Source organism: Homo sapiens, chromosome 22 (genome assembly GCF_000001405.40).
Source record: "Homo sapiens chromosome 22, GRCh38.p14 Primary Assembly".
Taxonomy (NCBI): domain Eukaryota; kingdom Metazoa; phylum Chordata; class Mammalia; order Primates; family Hominidae; genus Homo; species Homo sapiens.
This window is the reverse complement of record NC_000022.11, coordinates 33,892,981-33,905,822: the sequence shown is the minus strand read 5'-3', so window position 1 is coordinate 33,905,822 and position 12,842 is coordinate 33,892,981. Positions and strand designations below refer to the sequence as shown.

General features: G+C 45.8%; 1 protein-coding gene across 17 annotated transcripts in view, besides 3 other annotated features; it reads left to right on the top strand.

Annotated features, from left to right (window-relative positions):
* LARGE1 (LARGE xylosyl- and glucuronyltransferase 1) overlaps positions 1-12,842 on the top strand; it is an 856,162-nt gene that overhangs the window by 17,002 nt on the left and 826,318 nt on the right. The gene's annotated exons all lie outside the window — the stretch shown is intronic.
* Positions 1,048-1,342: a silencer, noted in NCBI's record as "tiled region #1840; K562 Repressive non-DNase unmatched - State 24:Quies". NCBI's record gives its function as "represses a minimal TATA promoter and a strong SV40 promoter by Sharpr-MPRA in K562 cells {active_cell/tissue: K562}" and the evidence as "EXISTENCE:reporter gene assay evidence [ECO:0000049][PMID:27701403]".
* Positions 6,275-6,887: an enhancer, noted in NCBI's record as "H3K4me1 hESC enhancer chr22:34294924-34295536 (GRCh37/hg19 assembly coordinates)". NCBI's record gives its function as "activates a minimal SCP1, AML or CMV promoter by ChIP-STARR-seq in naive H9 embryonic stem cells {active_cell/tissue: H9 hESC(naive)}" and the evidence as "EXISTENCE:reporter gene assay evidence [ECO:0000049][PMID:30033119]".
* Positions 8,508-8,802: a silencer, noted in NCBI's record as "tiled region #329; K562 Repressive non-DNase unmatched - State 24:Quies". NCBI's record gives its function as "represses a minimal TATA promoter and a strong SV40 promoter by Sharpr-MPRA in K562 cells {active_cell/tissue: K562}" and the evidence as "EXISTENCE:reporter gene assay evidence [ECO:0000049][PMID:27701403]".

Here is a 12,842-nt window from a genome sequence, read left to right as displayed (position 1 = left end):
ACATCTCTTAGCCAGAACTAGTCTTATTCTGGCATGTTGCTCTGGGTATGAAAATCTCAAGGGTCACCTAACAAAGGGACTATTTGAAATTGGTATGTTGAGGTCCTTCTAATCACAGCAATGCCACATGGTTGCCTCTTTCCCTTTTGTCTTTTACGTGTTGAAACTTGGTGCCAGAAACAGGGCATTTAAGCCCCTTTCTCATGTGAGAGAATAATATAACATTTTCAGTTCTTAAAAAATAACTTGCTGTTGGATTTTTAAAATGAATGATGGCTATCAGATTGCTAGATTCCATTTAAAACTGTGATGTGAAAGTTTTATTTTAAAATGTTAATGTTTACAATATGCTGAAAATTGTATCCTTAGAAATTGTGTAGTTGAGGATGAAAACTTTATGTCAGCCTAAAAATAGGCACGGCAGTACAAGTTTTTCAAATTTCAGAATTCAAGGGCCCAGGCATGGTGGCTCATGCCTATTATCTCAGCACACTGAGAGGCCAAGGTGGGAGGATCGCTTGAGCCTAAGAGTTCGAGACCAGCCCTGGCAACGTAGTGAAACCCCATCTGTATAAAAAACAGTTAAAAAAAATCAGCTGGGCATCCTGGTGCATGCCTGTGGTCCCATCTACTCAGGAGACTGGGAGGTGGATTCCTTGTGCCCAGGAAGTTGAGGGTACAGTGAGCCCTGGTCACGCCATTGCACTCCAGTCTGGGTGACAGAGCAAGATGCTGTCTCAAAAAAAAAAAAAAAAAAAAAGGAATTAAAAAAAAAAAACTTAAATACCTCTGTACTATTCTGTCTCAGATACTGAAGTTTGGAGTGGGTAATTTTTAAGTTGATTTCTGCCATAGACCCTTATACACCTGAATATTTTTTTCCATAAAATTTAAAGGACATCAGTATTTCCTAAAGCTCATACATTGCCCTCCTGATTAAGCACACTTGAAATTCTGTTGGGTTTCAGGATAATGTAAACATCCTTTAAATGTTGATGAAACTTTTACACATGTAGCTAGTCATGTGATCGTGTATGCCAGAGTGCCTCAATGGCTCACTGAGGACTGTTTCAGGTACAAATTATAGAAACCTAACTCATAGTGATGTTAAATAACCATTCCACTTTATCTTCTTAAGTGACTGAAGACCCGAGGGCAGCGTCAGGCAGGGCTGGATCTAAGTCCTCGAACAGCGTCACCGACTCTACTGCCCCACGCCTGGCTCTGCCTTCTTCTGTATTGGCTTGGTTCTCAGGCAGCCTGTCCCCATGGGATGCCAGGAGCCCTGGGTGCACATCTGACTTGCCCCACCATCGTAGCTGAGGGAAAGCATCTTTTTCCCAGTACATCTGGCAAAAGTCCTGGTTGTGGCCAGGCGCGGTGGCTCATACCTGTAATCCTAGCACTTTGGGAGGCCGAGGCGGGGGGACCACGAGGTCAGGAGATTGAGACTGACCTGGCCAACATGGTGAAACCCTGTCTCTACTAAAAATACAAAAATTAGCCAAGCGTGGTGGCACACGCCTGTAATCCCAGCTACTCAGGAGGCTGAGGCAGGAGAATCACTTGAACCAGGGAGTCGGAGGTTGCAGTGAGCCCAGCCTGGCGACAGAATGAGACTCCATCTCAAAAGAAAGCCCATGTTGTAATCTGGTTGGAAGAACCTCCACCACATCCCCGGAGCTGGTAGGAGGAAGTCAGTCCTATTTGAATTGCTTGAAGAGTGGGGAAGGAGTCATTCTAGGAGAGAAGCTGGGTAGACAGAATGGCCGAAAATATTCAGTAGGAAGATTAATCTGAAGATCTAGAAGTCATACAAAAGAGACCACAGGTCTCTATAAAACCTTTTGACTGTCCTGTGTGTACTTCCCCTACCAGCGCCAGTCAACACTTTCCCTGCTAGGATACTCATCCGCCCATTGACACAGTGGTGTCAGTGATACCTTCTATTCCCTGCATCAGTCATTTCAAGACTTTTTTTGTTTTGTTTTGTTTTTTGGAGATGGAGTCTCGCTCTGTCACCAGGCTAGGGTGCAGTGGTGCGATCTTGGTTCACTGCAACCTCCTCCTCCCAGGTTCAAGTGATTCTCCTGCCTCAGCCTCCCAAGTAGCTGGGATCACAGGCGCCCACCACCATGCCCAGCTAATTTTTGTATTTTCAGTAGAGACAGGGTTTCACCATGTTGGCCAGGCTGGTCTCGATCTCTTGACCTCGTGATCCGCCTGCCTTGGCCTCCCAAAGTGCTGAGATTACAGGCGTGAGCCACCGCGCCTGGCCAATTTCAAGACTTTTAAGGACACGGTGAAGAATCTCTGACAATGTGTTTTGCCATTCTTTTTTTTTTTAACTGTTATGTGATTTTATTTATTTTTTAAAAAAATTCAGAATGGTGGAATTCCATCTATTTTAGTTTGCCAGGGTGGCCATAACAAAGTACCATAGACTGTGGAGCTTAAATAATATTAATGTATTTTCTCACTGTCCTAGAGGCTGGAAGTCTGAGATCAGGGTGTTGGCAAAAGCCTCTCCCTTTGGCTTATATGTGGCTGTCTTTTCCTGCTGTTTTCATATGGTCTCCCCTCTGCGTGTGTCTGTGCTCTAATCTCTTCCTGTTATTAGGACATCAGTCATAGTAGATTAGGGCCCACCCTAATGACCTCATTTTAACTTAATTACCTTTTTATTTTTTGAGATGGAGTTTCGCTCTTGTTGCCTGGGCTGCAGTGCAATGGCTTGATCTCGGCTCAGTGCAACCTCCGCCTCCCGGGTTCAAGCGTGTCTCCTCCCTCAGCCTCCCGAGTAGCTGGGATTACAGGCACTCGCCACTGTGCCCAGCTAATTTTTGTATTTTTAGTAGAGACAAGCTTTCGCCATGTTAGCCAGGCTGGTCTTGAACCCCTGACCTTAGAAGATCCACCAGCCTTGGCCTTCCAAAGTGCTGGGATTACAGACATAAGCCACTGCGCCCAGCCTTAATCACCTTTTTAAAGACCCCGTCACTAAATACGGTCACATTTTGAGGTTCTGGGGGTTAGAACTTCAACATACGAAGTTGGGGGAGGGGATGTAATTCAGCCTATAACATCATCTGTTGTTTTAATGCTGTGAATGGGTTGTATTTTGAAAAACATGTACATATCTTGTTTGAAACACAAATTAGTAACAGATTCACCTAGGCAGTGCAGACTGTTTCAGGGATGGTTAAGTTTGATGTAGAGTTTATTATTCGGGTACTGCTTTCCCTTTAATAGGAGTAGAGAGAAGACAAAACGTACAGATGAGAACTGGTTGTGGATTTGCGAAAAATGCTTGGGGTTGGATAGTGAGAATCTGGACCTTTCACCTCCCTAGGCTCAGTGCTGCCGTGTTGGAATTGTAGCATTGTCCTTGCAATTGACAGCTTCTCTGCGATACTCTGAGGGTGGACTTGGGTTGTGAAATGAGTTTTATGACTTTTTGGGGAATGGGATGGGTGGCTGCCCTAAGGCAGGACTCTGTCTTTGAGACCAACAGCTCATCCTATTCTTCCCACTGGAGCAGTGGATTGGCCAAGAGCTCTGCTGGGCACGCCAGCACTCCCGTGTGTGAGAGAGTCTTGTCGTCTTGTTTTTTTGTGTGTCTTACGGACCAAAGTTTTCAAGTGTGGGGTTTTATGAGTCCATTTGGCCCACGTCGTAAAAGTGCCACTGTTGTGTTGGAATGATTTCTGTTCATTCTCAGAGCTAATCTTTAAGGTTCTGCCTGTGACAAACCTGTTCATCGTTCCACTTTATCAAGAAGTTGTCATTGTTCTCGCTCTTGCACTAATTACTGTTTTAATGTGGCTTGTGTGTTCATTGTCTGGTCTGTCTCTGTTTAGAATGAAACATCACAGCCAAAAAGATGTGGGGAGTAGGTAGCAGCTTTCAAATTGTAGTCTTTTCACATTAGAACCCAAAAATCCGCTTCCCAAATTTTGCTTGCCTGCAAACCAGAAATTTCAGTACAATTTTAGAAAGCCATTTGCTATACGATGTGGTTAAAGTATGCATATGTTCAGGTTGAGGGCCTGAATAAGTCATCCATGTATCATCACCCCTTTATCTGCCAACATCGATTGTGTTAACTGATTGGAAGATTGTCATTTCAACATTTTAATTTAATTTTTTATAGAGATGCTATCTCACTCTGTTGCCCAGGCTGGAGTGCAGTGGTGTGATCCTAGCTCACTGCAGCCTTGAACTCCTGGGCTTAAGCGATTCTCCCACCTCAGCCTCTCCAGTAGCTAGGACTGCAGGCATGTGCCACCTCACCCAACTAATTAGGGGATTGTCTTTATGGAAGACATTTCACAGTGTCTGAGAGAGTAGGACATAGGATCAAGAAGTTTTGGCAGAACATGGTTTATTGTTATTTCCATGCTAATATTTCCTGGCTCCCCTTGGGTAAGGTGCTTACTTTCTTTGCATTCATTTCCTATGGCAGCCGTAACAATGTACCACGTGCTGAATGACCTAAAACAACAGACATTAATTGTCTCACAGTTCTGGAGGCCAGAAGTCCAAAGCCAAGGTGTCTGGAGGAGTCAGCAGGACCACACTCCCTCTCCAGTGGCTCTCGGTGAGAACCCTTCTGGTTCTCACTAGCTTCTGGTGATTGCTGGCAATTCCTGGTGATCCCTGGCTGGTAGACATGTCCCTCCAGTCACATAGCTATTTTCTTCTTGTGTGTCTTCACATTGTCTTCCCTCTGTACATGTCTCTGTGTGCAAACAACCCCCCCTCCCTTTTTTTCTGAGACAGAGTTTCACTAGTGTCACCCAGGTTAGAGTGCAGTAGCGCGATCTCGGCTCACTGCAACCTCTGTCTCCCGGGTTCAAGCGATTCTCCTGCCTCAGCCTCCCGAGTAGGTGGGATTACAGGCGTGTGTCACCATGCCCAGCTAATTTTTGTATTTTTAGTAGAGACGGGGTTTCGCCATGTTGGGCAAGCTAGTCTTGAACTCCTCACCTCAGGTGATCTGCCTGCCTCGGCCTCCCAAAGTGCTGGGATTACAGGCGTGAGCCACTGCGCCCAGCCAGCTTCCCCTTTTTATAAGGACAGCAGTTATATTGGATTAAGTTCCACCTAATGACCTCATTTTAACTTGATTATCTCTGTAAAGGCCCTATTTCCAATGAAGGTCACAATTTGAGGTACCAGGGGTTAGGACTTCCTCATGTCTTTTGGGGGATTATTTCAACCCTTAATACTGTCTGAGCTTCATTTTTTTCTCCTCTGTGAAACAAGGTCTGTCATCTGTTCTCGCCTTTAATGTAAGGATCAAACACAAGTTAATGAGAAAGCAATCTAGAAATCGTATCCCCTGAGTGATGGCCGGATGCCCGTTGGACATTAGAGGCTCTTCATTCCAAGCAAGTGACATCTAATGAGCATTTGGGTCTGACACGTGATGTGGTCTGTGAGAATTTTCAATTGTAAGTCCTTTGGAGGTAAGAATGTTGTACCTGAGCTGTGTGTTTGGTGGAAACGTAGAGTGAGCCGGGGCTGGGCTTGCAAGGGGGAGCACCACCCGGGAGCTGAGCTGCATCTTCTTAGACGTCAGGACTGCTGTGTTCCTCCTTGTCCTGACTTGCAGGCCAGTGACTGCTGCCCTGTGGTACAATTTGAGTGTAAATCCTGAGATATCTGTTCCAACTCCTGAATCTTTCATGGAGAGTGTGGGAATGTATTCTGGTTTTTTGGTTTGTTTTCATGAGCTGTATTTTGATATTCAACAGAGGTTCACTTGGGGCAGAGGCTAAGAATGTTTTCAGACTGCATTTCTCTTTTGTTTCTTCCTAATAACTTGCAATGGTTAGGGGAAAAAGCTACAAAACAAATAAGCCAAAAACAACCCTCCAAACCCACACACTGACATTTAAAGGATTTGTGCCTTTTACTTGCATTTACTTACAGCATTGTACAGATTGCTGTCTGAATATATACATCTGGATGTATTCTTTGAGATGCCCAAAGCACTGCAGAAGTCTCACTTCTTTGTTAAATAGATTTTCATGTTATTCCCATCAATTGGATCAGAATTTCTGAGGGCTGCTGGTCATCGATGTTGCTTTGCTCAGATTCATTCCTTCATTTGCTGATTCACTGAACACACAGTTGTTGACCCTCTGTTATATGCCAAGCACTGTACTGGGCACAGTGAGGGGGCGGGTGAGGAGGAGAACAAGACAAAGTCCCAGTCCCTGCTTGCTTGGAACTCTCATTCTGTGTGGCTTGGTTCATTGTGAGCAGATTAGGTTGGCCCTTGGCTGTCATGCTTCCAGGCAAAGCTATCCCTTTTGTCACTTGCCACCTGCAGTTCTGGGCTAAAAACTACCATATGTATAACTCCTCTTGGTATTTATTGGTTTGTTACATCCAATTTTGCAAAGCCTGATGCATTGTTTGGTTAGAAGGAATCCTCTATTCTACTCCCAAGAGGCCGCTCAACAGGCTTTGATGATCCGTTAAACCCAGTTCCATTTTTGACATGGGAGAGCCTGTAACTTTTTTGCCTGTTTTGATTTTGAGTCCTTTATAGGGTATTTTGAGAGTTGGGCACCATCAGGCGGGTTTGATGTCAGTGCCTCACAGGTGGGCGATGAAGTTCTGGGATCAATTTTGTTATATGGCCGCCTTGTACAGTGCCACACTGGAAGCTTACATTGCAAGACATGTTCTTTTCATGGCGAGATTGAGATGTGGTAATTGAAATGGGAATGGCTGAAAGGAATACTGATGTCTCCATACTGCAGGGAGGGGTCCAAAGCCATCTTGCTGAAGAGCAGCAGGGGTTTGTGGTCCTGTTCACTTCTGATAGGGAGCAGCATAAATAGCACATCCTGTCACTTCCCGATGGATACAGTTGCGTGAGGACTTGTTTATAATGAATGGTCCTGGAAAACAACATCTCAGGGAATGAGGAGGCAGGAGGGAACATTTCTGCAGGGATAGGAGAAGGAGGAACTGGTAGAAGATGTCATGGAGAATTGCATAATGGGTTGGTTTTATCTTAAGAAGAATCTTTTTGTTTGTTTGTTTGTTTTTGAAATGGAGTTTTGCTCTCGTTGCCCAGGCTGGAGTGCAATGGCACAATCTCGGCTCACCACAACCTCCACCTCCCGGGTTCAAGCGATTCTTCTGCCTCAGTCTCTGGAGTAGCTGGGATTACAGGCATGTGCCACCACGCCCAGCTAATTTTCTATTTTTAGTAGAGAAAGAGTTTCCCCATGTTGGCCAGGCTGGTCTTGAACTTCCAACCTCAGGCGATCCGCCTGCCTCGGCCTCCCAAAGTGCTGGGATTATAGACGTTGAGCCACTGTGCTCGGCCAGTCTTAAGAAGAATCTTGTAATGATCTTGTGGAAGGAGAGGAGGAAATAAAAGTAGGGTTACGTGGTGTAAAGTGCTTTGCACTCCCTCTGCATCTCATGGAAATGCAGAACTTTTGGGCTCCCAAGAGGGATGTGGACCAATGGGATGCCTTAGTTTGTGGATGGGGGGCGGGGCACTTGGGCCCAGATCAAGGGAACCGTGTAGGCTCACACCAAGTTAATGATAAAATTCAGGCCACTTGACTTCCAACCTTTTATTTTCTCCCTCAAGCCCAGGCTGTCTTCCGCATCATTCAGGAGCTCTTTTAAGCCTGGCTCAAGCTTTCTTGGGGCCTGTGGGCCGCCAAAGAAACTGCATAGTCCTCTTGGTAATTGTTGGGTACCTTTTGGGTGGCTACAGCTGTGGCCACGTGTATGCTGAAAGGAGTGACAGGACTGGGTCTCTTGTTTTTTAAACAGGGTCTCATTGCTACAATCATTGAATGTATTTTTTAAAGATGAATATAAAACAGCTACCCTCCCAAGCAAATCATAAAACAAATTATGCCCTTGCCACCCAGAACTACAGAGAAACAGCAGGCACTTCGTGGCACAGAGAGTAATGGCTGCAATATTAAAACAATGATGGGAAAACCAGGATCCAATAGCTGAAAGCAGGGAGGAAAACAGCCTCGTAATCCCCCAGGGATAATGGGTCTCACCGACAGGTCCCTGTGATTTATTGTGCTTAATGTACTTATTTTTATTTGTCCCCTTCAACACGGAGCTTTGTCACTGAAGAGATTTGATAATGGCCTGTTTGCAGTCACTTAGACTCTCGTAATAAAGCGCCACATTTTGGCTGTCTGTAGGTTCCGCTGGCTTCATTGGCATTCCCCCTCTGATTTCACCTTCACTGGCTGAGCTGGGATAGATCTAGATAAGGGCTGCCTCCCTTGCGTATTCCCGTCATGCTGCCCTGTCCTGACTTCTGCCTGATAGCCAGCCTTACTAGGTGGCTCTCCAGGCCCAGCTTGCCTCCTGCTTTCGTTTTATGCTACTTTGGGACCACAGGAAGGAACCCCTTATTCTGCCTGAAATAATAATGGATCCCTGGGACTTTTATCTTTGTAGACCACCAATGAGAGTTTACTGCTTGCAGCTTTTTGGGTGAGCAAAAATAAAAGCGGAGGAGTAGGTATGTGGGGTTTTTGCAAAAGAATGGGCTTGATTTAAAGGCTGTAGTGCCTTCTGAATGTGGTAGCCAGCTGCTTTGCAAAGAAGGGTGTGTGGGATTCAACAGTTGTGAGTGAGTCAACCTGAGGCTTTCATTTCAGCTTCTTCCTGGGCTTTGAAGGAAGGGAGGTAGAAGCTCTCCAGGGAGCTCCACAAAGGAGGCATGACTGGCCTCCTTCCTGCAAAACTGTCCCTGATCTGCTAACGTTGGGGTGAAGAAATCCAGGAAGTGAGAGACAGGGGCGATAACCAGAAAAGCAGCTTCAACTGTTTTCCAGGGCAGCATGTGTGTTTCCTCTCTTTGAGGACCTCTCTCTGATACCCCACCATCAGGTCTGGTCGGCGGGGAAGGTTCTGTGCTGGGTTGCATCTGACACTTGGCCCCTGTAGCACAGCTGGGGGAGAGCATTGCTTTCATTCTGAATACTGAGAGAGAACGAGTGAGTATCTAATTACGGAAAACTCAAATAGTGTAACTGAAAAAGACTCCTTTAAAATGTAGGAGCAGCAGCAAAAGTCAAGCACACCAGGGGTGGGAGCCGGGAGTGGAAGGGATCAGTGTCGCTAGGCCTCAGTAGATGGAGTGCTGTGGACACTGTGAAGTTTGAACATTCTAGCAAGGTGACGGCATCATTGAGGGAGAGATGGTGCTAACAATAGGACGTTGCTCTCAGTCACTTGGGCACCTTTTACTTTCCTATGCCTCTGTCAAAAGTTTTAACAGGCTCCCAAGCCACTGGACCCCAGTACACGGTACACTTTGGCCTCAAATGTGCCCCTGGTACCTTAAGATCTAGCAGTTCTGCTGAGTATATACCCAAAAGAGTTGAAAGCACAGTTCTAAAGAGATATTTGCATACTCATGTTCATAGCAGCGTCATTCACAATAGCCAGAATGTGGAAGCCACCCAGGTGTTCATCAGTGGAAAGGCTAAACACCATGTGGTGTAGACATACATGGAATTTATTCAGCCTTCAAAAGGAAGGAAGTCCTGTCACATGCGACAACATGGATGAACTTTGAGGACATGATGCTGAGTTAAATGAGTCAGTCATTAAAAAGATAAATATTTATCATTCCACCTATGTAAAGTCCCTACAGTAGTCAAATTTGTAGAGACAGAAAGTAAAATGGTGGTTTCCAGGGACTAGGGGAAGGAGAGAATTGGGAGTGAGCTTTTAAGGGGGAGACAGTTTCAGTTTGGGAAGATGAAACAGTGCTGGAGGTGGGTGTTGGTAATGGTTGCACAAAAATAGGAATGTGTGTGATTCTACCAAACTGTTCCCTTAAAAATGGGTAAAATTGTAAGTTTTATGTGATGTGTATTTTACTACGGTGAAAATAAGGTATCTCTGGCAGGCAGACTCTAAGTTGGCCCTCATGATCCTCATCTCCTGATCTGCTCTTGTGTGGTCCCTTTCACTTGGGGTGTGCAGGGGACTTGTGACTTGCTTCTAATAAGACCAGAGCAGAGGCGAAGGATGTCACTTCTGTGATTACATTTCCTTATGTAAGACCCCATCTTCATAGCAAACTTGCCCTGAAGGATTTCCTTCTTGGCTTGATGAAGTTGGCATGTTGGGGGAGCCCATGTGGCAAGGAACTGTGGGTGGCTTTGAGGAGCAGAGGGTGACCCCTGCCCACAGCCAGCAAGAAGGCAAGGACCTCAGGCACAAGGAAATGAATTCTGCCAGCACAGGAGGGAGCTTGCAGGTGGATTCGGCCCCAGAGCTCCCTGGGGACACCTTGGCTGTGTAGCCTTATGAGATTCATGAACCATAGACACAGCTAAGCCATGCCCAGGCTCACACTGAGCTATAGGAACTGTGAAATAATGAATGTGTGCTGTTTTGAGCCATCAACTTTGTGACAGTTTGTTACACAGCAATAGATAACTAATATGTAGCCTCCCAGGAGACCTGCCTGAGTCCATTCCATCCTAGTTTTCTACTCTGGTCACCTCAGGTCTCCATCTCCTCCTCTTGTCCTCTGTGAGTGGGCAGATGGCCTGCTTTTCTGTTTTCTGTTTATGCTCAAGTGCATTCATAGTTAGAGCCAATTTGTCCTCCTTGTGCCTTCCTGCTCTCTCTGGTTTCCGGTTTGTGTGTCCCATCCAGAGACCGAGGGTGCCAACTCTGCCCACCTCTGTAGAGGTGTACTCTCCTCCCCATCCCCCACAGCACCCCCACTTGCCTCTCCAATATAAGGCTCATGACACAAAATACAGGTGATCGGTGATCAGATTTTCTAGGGTGGCTCTAATTGCAAATATTCTGCCCCATTTGTTATCCCATTAAACCATTAAACTGTCCCAGGCATTCCACTTTGGTATATAAGCTCTTCCGGGACTGGCTCCCATGTGACAAATTGAGAAGTGCCACTGCCATTTTTTGAGCACCTCCTGAATGTCAAATGCTTGATTCATGATTCTCATTGTGTTTTCCCAACAGCCTGATGAGGTGGCTGTCATGGTGCCTGACTTACAGAGGAGCACACTGAGACCAAATGAGGTTCATTTCCTTGTATGAGGTCACACACATGTGTGTGACCTTGGACCAGATATGGGTCCAGACAAGGATGAGAACTCCAAAGCCCTGTCCTAACTTGCCTGGGGCCACTGCCTTGGAAGAGCACAGTAGTTTTTCTGCCAGCTCCCATGTCCCAGTTTTGTTTGAAAAATAAGAGTTGCTGCACACAGAGGCTACTTCGAGGTTTCTGATAATTCATTCTGATGGACAGCAGTGGGACAGTGTCGGGTAGGGGACACAGCTAAAGCCTCAAATTGAAATAAGAAGAGGAGACAAGGGGGTCAGGAATAAGGTTGCAACTGGGGTAGCCACCCTAGTGAGTAGAGTAGGGGTCCACAGTGTTTCTCACCTAGGATGTGTACTAGAATCCTCTGGAAAGCTTTAACTGATGCTGATGTCTGGGATCCACCCCTAGAAATAGTGATTTTAATGGTTTGTGATGCATCTTGGGGACCAGGATCAAAAACTCCACAGGTGATCTGCATAGGCAGCCAAGATTTAGAACACTGGGAAGGAGGCCTCCATATGGTACAGGTTGAACAGGAAGTAGAGAAGACACAGCCTTAGGATAAGGGCAGGGCCTGGACCAACAGCACAACCTCTCTCCCCATCTAGAGGGTGACCCTGAGTGCTCATAGGGTCAGCCTCTAGATGGGGAGGGGAGTTGACCCTTAGACTTAGAGCATCCAGGTCTGCAGGGCCGGGAGCCCAGTTTGGGGACCCAGTGAGGCCTGCTCATGCTTTTCCTGTGGAATCGATAGATTTCCTGCATCTTCAGTGCCTTCAATGCACTTCTACTCAACATGTAGTGAAAGGGGCGGAGGTGCCCTGTGAGACTTGTGACGTTCAGCGGGCCTTAATAATAGGCCTGCATGGACTGCCTTTTGTCTTTGCTTAGAGTTCATGGTTAAACGTGGGGTTTGTGGTGTTCCCATGATACCTGAATACCGCTTGATGAGAGGGATTAGATTGCAAACACCTTGTGAGTGGGGAACCCAATATTTGTGTCTGCTAGAATGAGTGATATGATGGCTTACCTGTACCACTTAAGTTAATGATTGATTTCAACAGCTTTTGAAAGTTGAAGCACAGAAGTCTTAAGGTCACTTCGGGAGGTGAAAAACTTGGTGATTATCACTGTATTTAAAATTGTGGCTCTCCGATAACTCCACACTTGCCTTCTTTACCCTGCTCTGTTTTTTCCTATAGCATCACCGTTTGTTAATATGCTGTGCGTTTATCTGAATGTGAGCTGATGACGGCAGGGTTTCTGTCTTTTTGTGTCTTAGGCATAGAGAACTCTCAATAAATATTTGTTGAGTGAATGGAGTAAATGGTGGCCTCTACTAGTGTTAGTGGATCCAGAAAGGACATGGAATAGTTTAAGATTTATTCCTTGGTTGAGTTCCAGGAGGAACTGCAGGATTTACTGGGGTGGTGGGAAGAGGAAGGGGGACAGTGCTGTGGATACATTTTGTTTTACCTACCCTTTTGGAGCTGGTGTTTTCTTTCTCAATTAAAATGTATTTTCTTTAGCGGTTACTTTGTAATGGAAAATGACACTTCTGCCAGTTTTAGTCTTTTATGTGTTCTAAACCGAGTCCTTTCCTCCTGCTGTGGCTTCAATAATGCATCGTTTCATAAGTTCACAGAATTTAATGTGCTTCTGCTGAACCCCTAGTCTCAGCCAGATAGTTAAATGAAAATTAACCACTGTAGGTTGGATTCAAAGTCACCTATTCACC